We start from the raw sequence: 19,226 nt of genomic DNA, 5'->3' as shown, positions 1-19,226 counted from the left end.
TTGAACATGCAGAAATAGGAGAGAAGTGGCTCCAAGTGGGGGAACAGTGCCAACAGAGACCCAGATGTTGGAGAGTGCAATAGATATGAAAATGCTGATGATCCATAAGGGAGTTTCTCATCTTTCTCTTAAGGCTATGACGACACTGCCAAAGGTTTGCTGATACTACTATTAATTGAGTATATTCTGTGCATTCTGTATTGTTTTGAATCCACCCAATACGTCACCATGGTAGGTTTTATGATCCTCATTGAACAGATGAGGAAACTAAGACTTAGAGAAGTTAAATGTCATAACCGTGGTCCAAGGTGGTGAATAGGATTGGAATGGAGGTAAAAGTGGGTGGAGGAATCTGCCCTGGGCACAGGCAATAAGGGAGAAGTTTGTGGAGAATGAAAAGACTTAAAGTTGGTCTGCTTTTTATTATCCTTATGAGCTAGCAATTTTAAACAATGTCAATGGTAGTAAAACACTCCTCCCCTCTGGACAGATGGCTTCCACTATATCCCCCCTCCCTCCAGTGCCATGGTTGTGTGGCCCAAAGCTGGCATTCATAACTCTACCCTCTGCTGTGTTCAGTGGTGTACTGGTTAAAAAAAAACAAGAGATAAAAGCCCTGATCTGCAGAGCTTGTCAATTTCTGTGGTAGCAAATCCTCCTACCATGGCTGATTTTGAAGCCACCAAAGTGACATCACTGAATGGAGATCTAGAAACAGATAATCACCATCTAGTACTAGCTAGGCCCAGTATAAGCTTCTATCCAATATTTGATACACTGCTATGCATATTTATTAATAAAAAGCAATTATTAGATTATGGGTTGAGATAATATACAAGTACTCAATGCAATTAACTTAAAGTTGTTTAGTATATGAAAGCTTTATTACAAACAATTAAATTAAGCAGCAAGAGTAACCCCAAACAGAACTGATCACTTTGTTATTTTCCAACAACACTTGCAATGTGTTAAATTTCCCAATTAAGGTAGCTGGCCACTGGTTACGTCTTTAGCTTCAAAATAAAAACAAAATCACATTACAATCTGTTTGGCAACTTGGTGTTTAAGTAGCCAGATTATATTTTGGAAATAGTGTGATAACAGGGACTTTTTTTGTATTTTATTAACTTGAGAAACTCCAGAACAATTTATGTATCTTCAAGCCTGAGTGTTTAACTTTCCTATTGGATAAATGCAGTATGCCAAGTTGTCCTATCGGACCCACCTGTGCAGCCCCATTAATTGGCTGTTACCACTCAACACTGCAGATTTCATCCGAGTTATCCTTGACTTCTCTTTCTCTTTCTCTTACACCCCACGTGCTCTCCACCAGCCAATCCTGTTGGCGCTATATTCAAAGTCTATCCAGAAACTGACCATTTCTCAGCATCTCAGCATTACCAATGCCATCTGTGGTAGGTTCTGCCCTCTCCCACCTAGATTATTGCAATTAGCCTCATAACTAGGCTGTTCCCTTCTTCCTTTGTCCTCTGCAGTCCACAGAGCAGCCAGCATGATCCTATTCAAAGTAAATTGGTTCATGGCATTTCTCGGCTGACACTCCACAGTGGCTCCCCGTCTTACTCAGAAGAAAAGCCGAAGTCTTTACAAGTGGCTCAAGACCCTGCTTGATTTGGCCTCCGTCGACCCTTCTGTTCTCATTTCTCACGATTCTCCTGCTCAGTTAGTAATCTTTAGCCACACCGGCCTCTTGGCTGTTTCTGGAACACCTTTTACCTCAGGGTCTCTGCACTTGTTGTACTACCTTTTCCTCTGGCTGGATGCCATTCCCCTGGATAAGCACATGACTTGCTCCCTCATTTCTTTCAAATCTTTGCTTAAATGTTACCTGTCATGAGACATTCCCTAGTTATCCAATTTAAAATCACAATCCTCCTCCCACCTCACCCACCACCAATGAATATACCCTATCCCTTTCCTACTGTCTTCTTCTCCATTGACTTATCACTTCTGACATACTTTATACTTTGCTTATTTTATTTTTTTATGGTGCTCCCCACTATGATGCAAGCTCCAAAAGGGCAGGGATTTTTATTTGAGTTTTTGGGTGCTCAGTAAATATGTGTTGAATCAATGTGTGAGTAATGAGCGCTCTCCCTTTTCCCTAGGAAATTTAAAGAGGAAACAAAACAAAGGGAAGACAATCTTATGAATACATTAGAAACTACTGAATTATACACTTTAATTGATTGATTGATTGAGACGGAGTCTCGCTCTGTCGCCCAGGCTGGAGTGCAATGCTGCAATCTCAGCTCACTGCAACGTCCACCTCCCGGGTTCAAGCAATTCTCTGCCTCAGCCTCCCGAGTAGCTGGGATTACAGGCGCCTGCCACCATACCTGGCTAATTTTTGTATTTTTAGTACAGACGGGGTTTTAGCATGTTGGCCAGGCCGGTCTGGAACTCCTGACCTCATGATCCACCCGCCTCAGCCTCCCAAAGTCTGGGATTACAGGTGTGAGCCACCACCCCCGGCCAAATTATACACTTTAAATGGCATATTTTATGGTATGTGAATTATATCTCAATAAAAACTAATAAAGCAGTGTTGATACTTTGTTAATCAACAAACAAACCCAAAGGGAAGGCGGAGAGCAGAGAGAAGTGCTCTCAAATCTGTCCTCCAACTTTAGAGTCATGATGGACATGACCTTTAGAAGCTGGAATGAATGGATAAAAACCAACGGGATTCCGGGAGTTGCTCTAATCCCCGCGATCTCACCCAAGTGTTGGCTTATCAATAATGGAACCTGACCAGAATCACTCTAGTATCTTAGAATACGTGAAGTTTCTTTCTCACCGCTGCAATTTCTACGCTTGCTTGGTCTGTTTACTCAAGCACTTAAAATGTAAATGTGCCTTTTGAAATGTGTGAAAAAAAAAATCAAACCCTCTCTCAGCCATTGCCAAGGCTGAGCATGAGGACTGCCACCAGCACCATTAAGCAGTTTCTGCAGGCAGTCCAATGTCACAGAGCTGTGGGGCACATGGCAACGCTGGAGCCCTAATTCCTCATGGGCTCACCCGGGTTCTAACAAAAACTGAACAATAGGGGCTTCCAAAAGAATGTGTTACTGATTCACAAATTTATGGATTGTGCCATGAGATATAACATAAAGAATCCCAAATATGTAGTTCTGGTGAGGCAAATGAAGCCTGGTTGTGAAAAAAGAGTATACATTAGTGTAAGTGGTTTAGCACAACAAATTTCATTAGATCTCTCTTTCTGCCCACAGTTAGAAGAGAGCAAGTTGGTAATAAATAATAATATTGCTTTATATTTATATAGTTTTTCACAGAGTTTTAAATAAAGCGACTTCGTGTGCATTTCTAGAGTTGTCTATTTTGTTCACTGTTCAGTTTCTAGAGCCTGGAATAGTGTTTGGTAGTGGGCACAACGATACACGTTTGTTGGGAAAGTGAGTAAATACAAACTTGTTCTTCACAGTACACTTGTGCAGGATGTGGAGTATGCACAATTCCCATTTTAAAGATAAGGGAACTGAGGTCTGCAGTGGGTAAGTGACTTATTCAAGGTCACATACCCAAAGTCAAGCCTGGGTTTCATGGCTCCTGATCCTGCACCCTTCTTTCTACCCCTTGTGTCTAAGACAATCTGCAGGTTGCATCTTGTTAAGACTGAAAAAGCAAAATGGACTTTTCTTAAATCTCTGTATCAAAATGCTTGAGATTTACAGATAAGGGGCAAATTACTCATCAGTTAAAGATGTATGAGAAGAATGCACTTTGTCAAATGTGGAGGAAGTGTAAAAAGGCAAAGAAAGAGAAAAGTAATTTAAGCAGGGAAAATAAAGACCACAGCAAGAAGAAGACACTTGATAATGTTCAGCACTGGTGACCAGGAAGTGTAAAAATTAGAGCAAGTCCATTGGGAATTGAATGTGGCAATGCATGCAAAAGCAACCTGGAGAAAGAATGACTAAAATTAAAAAGACTCGTACTACCAAGTGTTGGTGAGGATGTGGAGGACTGGCATAATTGCTAACAGGAAGGTAAAATGGTACAACTACTTTGGAAAACAGTTTGGTAGTATCTCAAAAAGTTAAAAAGCTAAATATATTCCCACCATATGTTGCAGCCATTTCACTTCCAGGCCTTTTCCCAAGAGGAATGAAAGTATATGTCCGTACAATGACTTCTGCATGTGTATTTTTAACAGCTTTGTTTCCCATAGCTCCAAACTGGGAACGATGCAAAATCTATCAACAGATAAATGGATAAACACATTGTGGTTTATCCATACAATGAAATACTACTCAGCAATAAAAAGGAATGAACGATTGATACATAAAACAATATGAATGAATCTCAAAATAATTATGTTAAATGAAAGTAGTCAGACAGAAAAGAGTACATTCCCTTCAATTTTACATTCATATCATTACACTGCATCAGAAACTGTACTCTATAGTAACAAAGAGCACATCAGTGGTATCCAGGAGCCTGGGGAGTGGGAGTGGAGAGTCCTGGAGACATAAGGGCAGAAGTAAAAGATGGCAAAGGAACACATGAAAAATTTGGAGATGGATATGTTCATTATCTTGATGTAGTGATGGTTTCACAGTATTCATATGCCAAAACTTATCAGACTCTATACTTTAAATATATATATTCTTCATGCCTAGAGAGTAGGAGGCGTTTTCACTAGAACCCACTAACAGTGGTTGTATCAGGGAAAGAGAACTGGGTAAGTGGTGATCAGAGACGGGAAGGAGTCTTACCATTTTGTCCTATTTAAATCTTTACCCTGTGCGTATATGTTAATAAATCCAATATTAATAAAATACAAAAATGAAATAATGAAAAAACTCTTGAAATTGAAAGGGACACTTAAGAAGTATTGTTGTTATCATTATCACTTCCACCACCAAATTTAGCAGTGATTCAATTAACATAAACCAGATAGAGTCTGCAGAGCTTCATTATATGTGGTCTGTTAGGAAGACTTAACATATACAGACAATATTGATCTCAAATGGGAAGCTGCAGCAGTCTCCTAACTCACTCTTGCTCATTGCTCCAGGTCACTCTTTCTTTCAGTTGGAAAGGATCAGCTTCCTAAAGCACAGGTCTGATTGTGCATTCACCTGTTCAGAATTCTTCTTCATAGTCCACTCATTCTCTACAGAATAAAGCTCAAATTCCTTAGTGAGGCATTACAAACTCTTCATGAAATGGCCTGCCTTCCCTTTCAACACCACCTCACTGCAATTCTCCTGAGTAATCCTCTCTTTTGACCCCAGCACACCTGGGCTTTTGGTCTTTTCTCCACACTCTGCATGTCAGTACCTTGGCTCACATTCACATTATTGTTCTATCTGGACTGCTTTACCAACCCTCACCACAAACCCATCCATCTTTCAAGCTTCAGCTCCTGGGCCACCTCTTCTACATAAATCACCCTGATTTCCTAAAACCAAAATTCATCTTCTTTCATGCATCCATTAATCATTAAAAAATAAAAGTATACGTACTATGTGCCAGGCAGAAACAAGATGCAGGTCCTGGCATCAAGTTGTTTTGAGTCTTCCTGCGGGAGACTGGCATGCATGCATCATAACTAACATTTGCTGAACATATACTAAGTGTCAGTAATATATTAACTCATTTAATCTTCACAACAACCCGATGAGGTAGAGACTATTTCTTGCTTTCATTTTAGAGGTAAGGAATTGGAAGCATGCAAAGGTTACGGACTTTCCAAGGCTAGGAAGAAGAGGAGCTGGATTCAAACATTCTGAGTCCAGAAGCTCTGCATTTCTCCCCTTGCCATAGCTGTTTCATAGTACGTGCACTTACTCCATCTTCATTCTAATTTAATTGACCTGAGTTGACATCGATATTGTTTTATTTATTTATTTTTGAGACGGAGTTTCGCTCTGTCACTCAGGCTGGAGTGCAGTGGCGTGATCTGGGCTCACTGCAGCCTCCACCTCTCGGGTTCAAGCGATTCTCCTGCCTCAACCTCCCAAGTAGCTGGGATTACAGGCATCCACCACCATACCTGGCTAATTTTTGTATTTTTAGTAGAGATGAGGTTTCACCATGTTGGTCACGCTCGTCTCGAACTTCTGACTTCAGGTGATCTGCCCGCCTTGGCCTCCCAAAGTGCTGGGATTACAGGTGTGAGTCATTGTGCCTGGCCCAATATTGTTTTAAAGCTTTCCAGGTGACTCTACTGTGCAGACAGCATTGGGAACCTCTGCTGCTAGGGGTGCAGTGATGGCAAAAGGGTGGATGGGCACATACGCCTGAAACGTGGGGACTGGGAGGGGCTCAAATTTCTTTAATTGGCAGGTTGGAAAACAATGAATGAGTGAACAGGAAAGGACAGGACCCAGCGACAGAGGAGCTTCAGAACTGGGAGTTGTTCAGCCAGGCTGGGAGAGGAATCAGACTGTCAGAGAGGGATGAAGGGCCATGTCAGCCTTGAATGTCATGCCTAAAGAATGTGGAACTGATCCTTTAGGCAACAGGGAGACATGGAGGGCTTAAAAATTACTTTTGCATTCATCATTTTTAATAAGCCCCCTAGAGGCTTACTTGAGCCACTCGCTTGGAAAAAAATCTGCCCTAGCAGACATGTAGGATTTATGTAATGTTGGTGTTTGTCTGATCTACAATGCTACATCGGGGAGCACCCAACCATACTCTTTGTCCATGAGGTAGAAAGAGCCAGTATCCATCTGGAAACATTTACGAGTTATAAGAGGCTTGTGCTGTGTTTCCAAAATGCCAAAAATCCCTTGGGGACAGACATCTCTGAATGGGGAGAGGCCACATCTGCAGCCTTGCTTTCTTCATCTCTGCCTGACCGTAAAGCCTCCTCCGCTTGTCAGTGGATGTGGGTTGATCTGGTGAGGACGGGAAAAGGAAGCTGGCACTAGGTGGGCGGGGGGGGGAGGTCCTTTACAATGTGGTGGTGGCCTCTATCTGTACATAAACCTTCATACAGATGTATTCCTCTGGCTGAGGTCTGAAACACTGCATTTCCCGTTGCCACAACACCAGCAGCCACCTTAGGGTCATCACTACAATCCCCCAGGATTCTGTGAAAGAGAGAGAGAGTGCCAGAGGGGACAGTAGTTTTTCTTTCTTTCTTGATTTTTCTTCTCTTCCCAATTCTTCTTTACTTCCCTTTTTTTTTTTTTTCCTAAAGAAATTCTGGCAGAAAATGTGAGCCAAGTAGGTAAGGAAGGCAGGGGAAATTTTGCCTTTTCTCAGTATGGTGGTTCCTAAGAATGCACAAGGCTATTGAAGATGTACTCCGAGTCAGGCTACGTGGACTGGATGGACACTGTTGGTGGCCTACGCAGAGCATCGTTTTCCCCTTCCTCCTTCCTAACAGAATCCCGATTTGGTAAAGGAAATCAGTGCAGCCCGGCCACTGAGAGGAAGCGGGTCCATCCACAGCTCCCGGGCAGATCCCAATTCGAGGCATAAGGCAAGGATGGTTAAACATCCCCGCTTGCTGGCAATTGCTCCAGGCTTGGGCCCATCAGCACCAGGCCCTTGCCAGGTGATTGTACTAGTTACTAGTCCAGGTGGGCTGTGTCCTGGGTTGTAACAGGCAGAATGGAAGGACCTGAAGCCTGTGTTTTTTGGGGAGAGGGTGCCTCTCTTGTTGGAAATGAACAAGGGGGCAGGTTGTTGGGGGTCTGCTGGCTGCCATCTTGTGACCACGAGAAAAGTCCAGCCGAGGAAAATGCTAACTCGAGGGGAGGAGGGCAGCCAGGCAAATCACAGAGAAATGAGTCAGAGCTATGATTTGTCTTGTGCCTGGGGGCTGGGCCTGCCCCTGGACTGTCTGTTATGTGAGATAATACATTTCCCTTTCACTTGGCTGGCAGCTGAAAAATTATTCCTAACTGCTACCTAACTCGCAGTGGCCGTCCATACAGTGGTTTTAACTAGAGAAGGCTATAATAATAGGGGTTTATACCAGAGTCTGCAGAGAGTTTTCTCACTAAACTGTTTTCTCATTTGAACCACCGAAGAGCCCCTTGAGGAGGTGAAATGGACATTATAATTCCTATAATTCAGAGCAGGGAAGTGACTTGGCCAAAGTCACAGAGCCCAGGTCTCCAACTTAATATTGCGCACTTTCTACCCTGCCAACTCCTCACATGGTTGTCACTGTAAGTTTCAAATGATTCTATGATTTGTTCTATAATGCTATAATAAAATAAAAATGCCACTCTTCATTTGCATAGTACTTTTCACTTTTCAAAGCCTGGTTACATCTACAACTGAAGCAGCTCAATTATTATTGTCAGATGCAGAGATGACAGTCACTGAAATGTAAATGACTCAGCTGGTCAAAAGCTTGTGATCTAGCAAAAAAAGAAACTGAAGCCAATTGAGGCCTCCCCTGGGATTTTGGAATCGGGATTCTGAAAGCTTCAAAAGCTGTGAGCGCCAAGTTGCAGGTCATATGGGGCCCTGAATAAGATGTATAAGAGGACGGCAGAGAGAGATGGAGAGAATAAGTGTGTGGCCCTGGGAGGAGCAGGGGGAGAAGATCCCTTCATTTCTCACCACTTTCCAGGTTCTATTTCCAGTCTGAAGAAGGTCCAGCTGGACTCTGTCTCCTGTGCATGATATTGATGTTTTTGAGCCTTTGACTTGAGCCAGTTTAAGTTGGTTTCTGTTTCCTGCAGCTTTAATTAAAACCCTTCTCATATTTATTGTTCTAGTTATGTCCTGTTCCCCTGAAATGATCAGTAGTAAAATGAAAACACTCAAAATGAAAAGGACACATGTGCTTGTCTTTTGGTAGCATCAAAGCAGAAGGTCCCTAGAGAGGCTACGCCAACCCTGAAGCCAAGCTCTGGGAAGAAGTGTGGCAAGAAATCCTGTGAGCTGTCGCAGCCACTGAGAAGGTCCAGGATAATCAGGAAATAAAAAGTGGAAGTGGGTGACCTTGAAACCATGCTGTCAGAATGTTGCTGTAGAGTTTCCTCATATATTTATGACAGTAGTTCACAACCAGAGGTGATTTGGTCCCGCAGGAGACATATAATAGTGTTTGGAGACTTTTTGGGTTGTCGCAACTTTGACAAGAGAGGGGGATGCTGCTGGCACCTAGTGGGTGGAGGCCAGAGTGGAGATACTACTGACCATCCTGCAATGCCCAGGACAGCCTCCACAACAAAGAAGTGCTCAGCCCCACAGGCCAATAGCGCCAGGGCTGAGAAACTGATTTATGAGAATGTTTATTTCTCGATGTATTTATGAGAACGTTATGCTTACTGACATTCCAATCTAGGAACTTCCCATAAATATTCTATGTACTTTTGTGATAACTAGAATGTGTATCCCCTTCTCCAGGATCACCTTTCACCACCAATAGTTAGAGAAAATCCTGCAGCAAAGATGTTTCCTCATGGGCAGTTGGGTGGGGTTTAAGACCTCATCCATGTACACAGCTGATGTATGCCCGTGCCATTAGGTTCGTTGATCCATGTGGCATGTTTCTACATGTCAGAAAACCAAAAAGGGAAAGCCTTTTTTGGTCTTGTGTTTCAGACGGTTATTTTGTACTGTGTTAGGAACCTGACATATGGTAATGCTTACCACATCCACAAAGGCTTCGACCAATGGTGATTTCTAGAGACACTGCAAACAGTAATTACATTTCTGAAGTGGTAGTTTAGATCTTATATTGCCAGTGGGAAAAAATACTAGTTTGCAGGCATGCCCCAAATGAGCTCTAAAGAACCCCTTCCAAGAGTTATTTATCCTGTGTAATGGAAAGGGGCACGAAGATCAGTAAATCTAAAGGAAAGAGGCTAGGACCTCAAAAAGACGAGGTGGGCCATGATTGCTCCTCTTAGTTACCCTGGAAACCGTGAGTGGTTTAAAGATTCTCATGAAGCTTTGGAAGATGAGTTTCTCTCATCACAAACTTCTTTGCCTAATGTGTTTGACACTGTGGATTAGCCTTGCCTCCTCCCCGTTCTTCCCTTTGGGCTTTGAGGTTTGTAGTTGCCAAAGGGCCGTCTACTGTGAATTTGGAGCTGGGTGTTTGGTTCTGCTCAACTATGATCCCTAGAGCCTGGACTAGCCTGAACACTCTGTGCTTTTTGGTCTGCCTTCAATTCTGAAGCACAGCAAAACATTCTCAGGTCCGGCAAAACTTTCCAGCTGAGATAGGAAGGAAGATGAGGGTGCGTCTGCAAGATCCACACCCTCCCCTCTGCTGCTCGGTAGAGAATGGGCTCCTCTCAGATGACAGAGTTCTGAGAGGCAGACATGGGGCTCCCTCTCAGAAGCACATTCTTGAATCCCAGCAACCAGAGACCTGGGTAAAACGGAGGGTGTGGAGGATGGTGTCTGTGGCTCAGGAATTGAGGGCTGTGGAGGATTAAGCCTCAGGAATTTCCAGGGACCAGTAGAAACAGAGTCATTTAGAAGCAGGAGACCCAGCTCTCCAAAGGCAACCACCTAATGTCCTACTTCAGAGGCCTTCCTGGGAACAATCCCTGCTCTGAAGGAGCCCTCAGACTCTCCTGCAGGGCCCCCTGACTATTTTGGCCTGGATATATAGCGGCCTGTTAAATGAGACGGGATTGATCCCTTTGCTCTTCTTCCTGGGAAGTTTTAGAAGTGTAGAGTTCATGCCCATAGTAATAACTATCATTTACTACATGTTTCCTATATGCTGCACATGGTACACAGGTGATTTTACTTAATTGTCATGGTGATCCTATTGGGTAAGGACTATTGCACCCATTCATCAGAGCAGGAAATTGAGACTTAAAGAACTTTAATAAACTGCCCAATCTGGCCAGGAGTGGTGGCTCATGCCTGTAATCCGAGCACTTTGGGAGGCCGAGGTGGGTGGATCACCTGAGGTCAGGACTTCGAGACCAGCCTAGCCAACATGGTGAAACCCCAGCTCTACTAAAAATACAAAAATTAGCCAGGCATGGTGGCGTGCACCTGTAATCCCAGCTACTCCTGAGGCTGAGGCAGGAGAATCAGTCAAACACCGGAAGGCAGAAGTTGTAGTGAGCCGAGATCGTGCCACTGCACTCCAGCCTGGCGACAGAGTGAGTCTCCAAAAAAAAAAAACAAAAACAAAAAACAAACAAAAAAAAACCCCAAACAAACAAACAAAAAAACCTGCCCAAGCTTACAGAATAAATATATAGCAGAACCAGAATTCTATCCCAAACCTCAAACACTGAACTCCATTTAACATCTAATTTTCCCACTGTACAAGATGATTTTATCTTTGTTTTTACCTTGATGCCAATATCCCAGGCTTTTTGAGATACTTGGCTGACAATTGTTAAAACACACACTGTAAAGTACATACCTTCTATAATAAAGTGGTCTTAGTTACAAGGTTAAGTGATTTTTCAAGCGTCATATTTGAGCCTGAACTCACTCACAACTCTGTCTCACACGCAAACGTTATTTAGGGTAAAATGATGCACCAGGCATATTTTTAAGTGTAACCAGGCATAACACACCCATCTAAGTAAACATTTGAGTGTATTGTAATTGACTGTGTAATGGGATGTTAAAATAAGATGATCCTTTGGTCTTAGTTTTGGTTGAGGCCTCAAGACAATAGGTGCCAACCACTTCCATGTTCCAAAGTGGTCTCTTTGAAGCTCCTCTCACTATTGCCTGAAGTGGGCTGGGTGTAGGGGGGTGGGGGTAGGGGAGCCACCTGCTCCTCTTCTGCATCTAGGTAGGGGAAAGAGGAGGGAAAATGCCTATAACTTGTCTTTAAGAAGTTTTTGCTCTCTGATCTCTGACTCCCTCTCTCAGCTTCTGCAACCTCTTGCATGGAGAGGTCATCAGCCAGAGATCTTGGTTCTCAATCAGCTCCTTTGAAAAGAGAGCTTGGATGCCCAGTAACCCAATTTGAAGTGGCTGAGTAGTTGTGTCTCTGGGGCTGATGTCTGCCTCCGTGGACTTGGTGTCTGTCCCATGATTAAGTCCTCTACAGGAGAGGGGAAGAGCTTGTGGCAATCAGAACTCTCTGTGTGACAGAGTCAGCCTGGGGTTGTTTTAGCTCTGGTCTGAGTCAGGTGCATGGAGGGCTGAGGAGCCTAGGCAGAAAGCAGCCAGACAGAGCTTACCAGTTGCCCAAGGGCTGAGGGAGGAACTGTAAACCCCCAGACAGAACGGATTTATTTCAAAACATCCAGGGAACTACAGGTGAGGAATCCCCAACGCAGTAGGGGAGGGTATCTTCACAGCACCCATAGACATGCCCTATGGGAACAAGAAGCAGCTGTAAACCCCTGTGAAGCTCAGGGAACCTGGATGCTGGCTCACAACAGTACCAACTAGTGAGGCCTGTCCCTGCCTCTCACCTTTCCTCCCTGTACCCACTTCAACTCTGGACACGAAGAGACTACCGTTGGTGGCCAAGGGGAAGAGAGGTAAAGGCGCAAGGCAGAGAAAGAAAATTCAATCATGCCCCCTTTCCACTGCAGAAAGCAAGCCTGGATGTGGAGGATGAGACTTTAAGCTTGAATATCATCTTTACGTTTTTAAGGATCACGTAGTATTACATACATGTTAATGACTGAATTAAGATTGTTTGGGAGTGGAATATGAACAGGGTCTTTTTTAAAAAAAAAAATCCTCTGAGCTTGGCCTGACAGATTTCATCCAGAGCAGAGGCAAGAACTGCCCCCTAGTGTGTGAGTGAGCGGTAGGCGGTGTCTGGGGGAAATTGAGGCATGTGAGGATGGCACGCTCTGTGTCTGCTTGTCCAAAGCGCACCCTTGGGCTTCCCTTTCCTGCTCCTTCAGCTTGCTGCAGACACACTGGCCTCCCAAGCATGGTTCCACTCAGGGCTGTTTCATTTGCTTTTCCCTCTGCCTGGAATGCTCTTCCCTGAGGGACCCACATAGGTTGCCTCCTGGCTTCCTTCATCTCTCTGTTTAACATTCACTAAATCATGCAATGCAAATCATCACCCTGACTGCTCTCTGCATCCTACTTTGCTACTTACATTTTTCACAGCCCATTATCACCACCAGGCCTCTTACTGTATTTGTTTATTATGTGCCCCCAGATTGAGAAAATGGAAATGTTTTTGTTCACTCTTCTTCCCAAGAACATGGGATTGGGAATAGCACATGGAGGTGGCCCAAAAAATATTTGCTCCTGCTGTTGTTGAATGTTATCTCTCTTCCCCTGAATTCTTTTTGCCTTTTGGAGTGCAGATTTACTCACTATGGTGTATAAACACGGCCAGTCTGGGCAAGTTAACTTGCACCTTTATGTCCAAAGCATGTTTTCTCTGTCTGGAACAAAAAGAAGCCTGGTGAAGGGAATTCACATAGCATTAAGGTGCCAGTGACCTGATCCCTTGGAAACTAGATGTAAGGTTCCCCCGAGGGCATAGGTATATTTTTTTCTTTTTGAATAAGAGAAGAAAGAATGTAGAAACAGAATGCCTTCTCACTATAGCCTGAAGGGCAGTTTTTATGAATTTTACCACACGTCCACACAGAAGTTTAGCCTTTCTCGAACTGAAGGAAAGAATTTGAGAAATGTTTACTAGAGTCTTGTCAATGTAGAGACCCTTATCAGGGAAAGTGATTTGCTGAAGTAGTTTGAGTCATAAGGAAGCATGATTCTTTCTGCGACAAGCTGCTGAGTTAACCTTCCAGTGAAGATAAAGGAAAGGTTTTGGAGACTGGCTACACAGAGGGTTTCATGATGGAGGCTCCTCAGTGTTCCCTCCACTCGCACCACCTAACTCCCCCTAGTCAGCTTTTCCCCATCCACCCAAAAAGGAGATTATCCAAGAATGACAGAAATAAAAGCCCTCTTCTCCTGACAAAACTTCCCCTGTGAGTTCCTTGCCTCCACGCCTCTCCACTGTTATTACTACGGTGTCTCTACCTGCAAGGAGGTACATTTTTTTTTTTAAAGAAATTTCACTTGGCTTGATAATTATGTTTTCAGGGATGGCAAAGACTAATTTGGTGCTGTCACAGAAAAACCAGGACCATGTGTAATTGTTGCCTGGCAGGTTAAGAGTATGACTTTGGAAGTAGACCTCTTGGATTTGAAGCTGAGCTCCATCCCTTACTAGCTGTGTGGCTTCGGACAACTTACACAACTTATCAGTGCCTTCGTTTTTTTCATCTGTATAATGGTGATGGTAAAAGCCCACCTCATATGTTTGCTGTTAGGGTTAAATGAATTGATATATGAAAAGGGCTTGAACAGTGGGTGGCACATAAGAATAGCTCTGGAAGTGTTAGCAGTTATTATTATTATTATTATTATTTAATTGAGATAGGGTCTTGCTGTGTCACCCAGGCTGGAGTGCATGATCATAGCTCATTGCAACCTCGAATGCCTGGGCTCAAGTTATCTTCCTGCCTCAGCCTCTTTAGTAGCTGGTACTACAGGCGAGCACAGCCATGCCTGGCTAATTTTTTAATTTTTAGTAGGGACAAGGTCTCACTATGTTGCCTGGGCTGGTCTCAAACTCCTGGCCTCAGGCAATTCTCCTGCCTCAGCCACCCAAAGTGTTGGATTCACAGGTATGAGCCACCACACCTGTCCTATTATTATTGTTGTTGTTGTTGGGGTGATGGTTAATCATTATAACATCGCCACCACCACCGCCACCATCATCATCATCACCACCAACATCTTGCAAAATGCTATGTGTGTTTGAGGGCCAGGATTTTCACTGTCTTCTGCAAACCACAGGGAGATACATTTTAAGACAGTGAGAGGGAGACCTTTTGAGGTTTCTCAGATTACGACCATCACAGAAGTTGCCTCTCTTATTTATTATTTGTTGATTGACTAGCTCAGATTCCCTGGATAAAGAGATGGCAACTAGTTTCTAATGATTATATTAATATCACATAATTCCATGAATCTATTTGCTAAATGTATCCGATGAGTTAATGTGTAAAAGTTTGAAGATTATTACAAATGGTATGTTTCACAGCTTATCTGATTTCTTTATTATAGTCACATATAATTAAAAAAAATTAACTAACATTTGGCACTGATCAAACCTCTTTGCCACAGCTCTGTGGGGTAGGCAGTAGTAATAGACCCATTTTATAGATGAGAAAACTGAGGCCAAGAGACTTTAAGTAACTTGCCAAAGTTAACACATTGAAAAAGTAACAGCTTTCCGCCTAACACCCACATGACCCATAGCACAGGAAGGTCCATTTTTGCCTTGACCTCGCATGTAAGGCTTTAAATTAAGGCATTTGACATTCTTTCCGAATGGGGTTATATTGACAGTCACAGAAATACAGCAGAAAGCTGAAAAAAGTCTTTCATACAACTTGGACCCACAGTCTCCAGTACACTATGTATATGTGTGTGCATATCTATCTATCTATCTATCTATCTATCTATCTATCTATCTACCTATATATCTATCTATATCTATATCTATATCTATATCTATAATCTCCTCTAATCATCTTCTGAAGAATATGGAGACATCTATATATATGTGTGTGTATATATATATATAACCCCCTCTAATTGTCTTGTGAAGAATATAATTATGTCAAATTTCATTTTTGTATACATGTAAGTCTCTGGTTAGGTAAACATGCATATTTAAAATATACCATAATTTTCATAGCACTATTTCGATACTTCTTCATTTAGCAATGTACAGAGAGTCTCAACAGTGAAATTTTCCTGGCCACATTTTGACACTGGAGAGGTCCCAGTGCATAGAACCATAGGATTGAGAGGGAAGCTTAGAGACTATCTTGTGTAACTTCTTCATTTCGTATGTGATGAAATAGAGATGGAGACATTGAGTAACCTCTCCAGTGCACCATGGCTAAATGCCCTTCTACTGACAGACAGGCCCATTGTGTTCTGTCTTGTCCCCACTGCTGCTGATGCTTGGCTCACACCTCCAAGTGTTAGCAAGGAGAGGGGAAGTTGCACATGTGGACACAGCATCATGGGAACATGTTGGGGGCCATGAAGTTTTTATTATATAAATGCTTTCTAAAGTAATCTTTTTTTTTTTAATATGTGGGGAATAAAAGATTACATTTCTTTTCTTTTCTTTTCTTTTCTTTTTTTTGAGACCAGGTCTCACTTTGTTGCCCAGGCTGGAGTGTAGTGGCGTGATCTCAGCTCACTGCAACCTCTGCCTCCCAGGTTCAAGTGATTCTCCTGCCTCAGCCTCCCGAGTAGCTGGGATTACAGGCACCCGCCATCATGCCTGGCTAATTTTTGTATTTTTGGTAGAGATGGGGTTTCACCATGTTGGCCAGGCTGGTCTCGAACTCCTGACCTCAGGTGATCCACCCACCTCGGCCTCCCAAAGTGCTGGGATTACAGGTGTGAGCCACTGCGCCAGGCCAAGATTACATTGCTATAGAAGTTTTGACATTTCAAAACTCCTTTGGAGCTGAGAACCACTATTGACCCTTGTGGCCGCCCTGGGAGGGAGGGTGTACAGGCATTGCTATTTCTGTTTTCCAAAGAGAGAAACAAAAGTCAAGAAATGTTATATATGTTTTCCAAGGTAATAGGTAGTGGCAGAGCTGTTACTATAATTTAGGACTCCTGGCTTGGCGCATGCATTGAACCATACTGCTTTCCTGTATTCAATGTGTCTTATAGGAATCATAGCTGAGAACCATTCTCAAACCTCATGTATTTTCTCTGAAAGAAACTATTCTTCATGTGATCAGTAACTTGGTGGAAAAGACAGATCTTCTTAACAATATTCATGAATTAAACAGTTTTAGGATAGATATTAAGCATTTCCAATCTTCCTAAGGTATTTTTATTTTTTTTAGTGGTGAGGCATAAGATATATTTAAATGAAGCTTAGTCTGGGAAACCAGCATATTGCAATAAAAAAATGCAAGTCTTTGCAATCTTGTAATTCTTTGTCTAAAGCTTTTTGTACAAAAGAGGGTATTTTAATTCAATAAATAAAAGATGGGCACTTCCAGCTCTCCTACCAGCACTAGCTACCACTTGCAGCTAACACACATAGAGAGAAAATACACAAACAAACAGTGTTTGATCCTGCTTTGCTGCAGGGTGTTTTCATCTTTCAAGAGACCAAGGGAAAAACAACCTCAGAACTTTACCACCAAAACTTCCAAATTTATTGCAACACAACGTAACGGCAAAATACTATTTTCTTAGCACACGCAATTTTGAGCAACCACCACGGCCAAGAATGCTTGTTTTTATTTTTACAATAAGTCCAAAGAAAATTTTTAATTCCACTCTTGATTTAGGAATGGCAAAGATGCTGTGGGTTGTTTGGAGAAAACTGTCATGTCTAATTATTCAGTCTTATCCTCTCTCTTTAACCTGTGCTTGAGGCGTTTATTTCATGTTTATACTAGTTGGACACAAATCATACTTAAAAGAGATTTCATATCCTGTCTTCCTGTGAAAAGCTGAGCTACGATGGCAGACTTAACAATGCCAGCCCCTTGTTGGGCTTATCAGTAACAGAAGCATTCAGCCTAAGAAAACACTTTAAGTGTAAACAAGACACAGAATCGCACATCTAGCCACATTCCACTGAAATCTGTCTGAATAGAGAGAAGTAGAGATCCACACGAAATAGTTTCTCTTTTAAGTTAGCACCAATGTGCCCATTTCTCATACTGCCATTCACAATCTTTATAAGCAATTTGCTATATTGCTATTACATTCCACATATTCCAAGCAAAGTTTTTAAAAAAGCAAGATAATAGAGACTTAAATTACTTTAAAATTCTACACAAATGTCATACTTTTCAACTTATTTGTAACCATAATTAAATTGGTTTAAAGGAACAGTAAAAATCTTGTTATAATATTAATATCAATGCAGTTTATTTATAATTGATAAATATATATGTATATTACTAGTTGTTTACAAGGATGCCAAGTACCATCCACTTTCATCTCAACTCTCTTGAAACTGAAATTTGCTTACTCGGTCAAGCTTTGTATTGTAGTTTCTTAAAGACAAATACGTTTCAATGATAATGAATGGAAAGTAACTATATACACAGCTTAGAAATTCATCAGACATACCTTGTTTGAAGAAGGCAATTTTTTTTTCAAAAAATTTTCACCACACAGAATGAATATTCTTTTTCCCTTAGGCTTTCCTGCATCACAAATCCCATCCAAATTATTCTAAGGAAGAAACAGGGAGAGGTCCAAGAACCTTTTCTCTTCTTCTCAGAGGAGCTAATCGAACAGTCCCATCAACCTCTCAGTACTTTGAAAAACACATTTTACACCCCCCCCCACACACATACACACACACACATGCTCACACATACTGCTTCTCACACTGGTTTTAGTGCTGAATTAGGCGGTCCTCTTTCAAATTTCCACTCCCACTGCTTTTTTTTTTTTTTTTTTTTGTAAGGATTTCTAAATATTCTTTTGTAGCCCAAAGCACAAACTTTCAGTAAGCAAATTCTACAATTTGACATTCTAAAAAGTAGAGGAGGACCACTTAGATAAAAATGGAAAGTAAAAGATATGTTTTAAAAATTACTTCAGCAGGGGCAATTCAATTTTTTCTTTCTTTTTCAAAAGCTAGTGAACAGCTGGACTGAACTGCACAAAGAAGGAAAACTGTGCAAACACTCTCAAACTTATTCTACTGGACTCCCACTTTTGAATTGAAAATATGTACTTTTTCCTACATATTAATGCTATTTTTTTGTTTTGTTTTGCTTCAGTCCTTTCTGCGTTTTGGCAAGTTTTATGAAATGACTCAATTATATGCTGGTAGTTACAGGACACAAGATAATCATAGTGGGAAGCAAAACCTGACTCATGTTTCAAAAAAAATACTGATGAATAATCTCACATGAAATCTGCCAGTTTTAGTTATTTATATATTAGTGTCATCAATGAAATCTAAGAGATTCAGATTCAAAATGTGTATTAACGTATCACATCATTAAAAAAAAATCAGACCAAAAAAAAGTACATCTGGCAGATCTTGAGATTCCAGTGTCCATCAGTGTGGCAGAGCATCTGTTTTCAAGCACAGGAGAAGGTAGCAAAGAGTCATTCCTCCTCCTGCTGGGGAGTGTGCACTCACGCAGCTAGGGAGGAGAACCTTCTTCCATTCGAGAAGCCTCCTGTCCTCATCTGTTGGCCCTGGAACTGCTCCTTATTTAAGATAATTGTTTGACAGATCTTGTGCTCTAATGCCA

The 19,226-nt window shown here is 42.0% G+C and overlaps 1 protein-coding gene and 1 long non-coding RNA gene across 13 annotated transcripts in view; one reads left to right on the top strand and one right to left on the bottom strand.

Annotated features, from left to right (window-relative positions):
• The window catches only part of VIT (vitrin), a 118,088-nt gene extending 99,740 nt beyond the window's left edge, over positions 1–18,348 (bottom strand). For all 12 annotated transcript variants that reach the window (NM_053276.4, NM_001177969.2, NM_001177970.2 and 9 more), the window contains exon 1: positions 18,082–18,348. The gene's annotated coding sequence lies outside the window, so the exon portion shown is untranslated. The remainder of the gene's footprint in view (positions 1–18,081) is intronic.
• The window catches only part of LOC124905990 (uncharacterized), a 118,030-nt gene that overhangs the window by 92,384 nt on the left and 6,420 nt on the right, over positions 1–19,226 (top strand). The gene's annotated exons all lie outside the window — the stretch shown is intronic.

The sequence above is a fragment of the Homo sapiens genome, chromosome 2 (assembly GCF_000001405.40).
Source record: "Homo sapiens chromosome 2, GRCh38.p14 Primary Assembly".
NCBI classification, from domain to species: Eukaryota; Metazoa; Chordata; class Mammalia; order Primates; family Hominidae; genus Homo; species Homo sapiens.
This window is presented reverse-complemented; position numbering and strand designations above follow the sequence as displayed.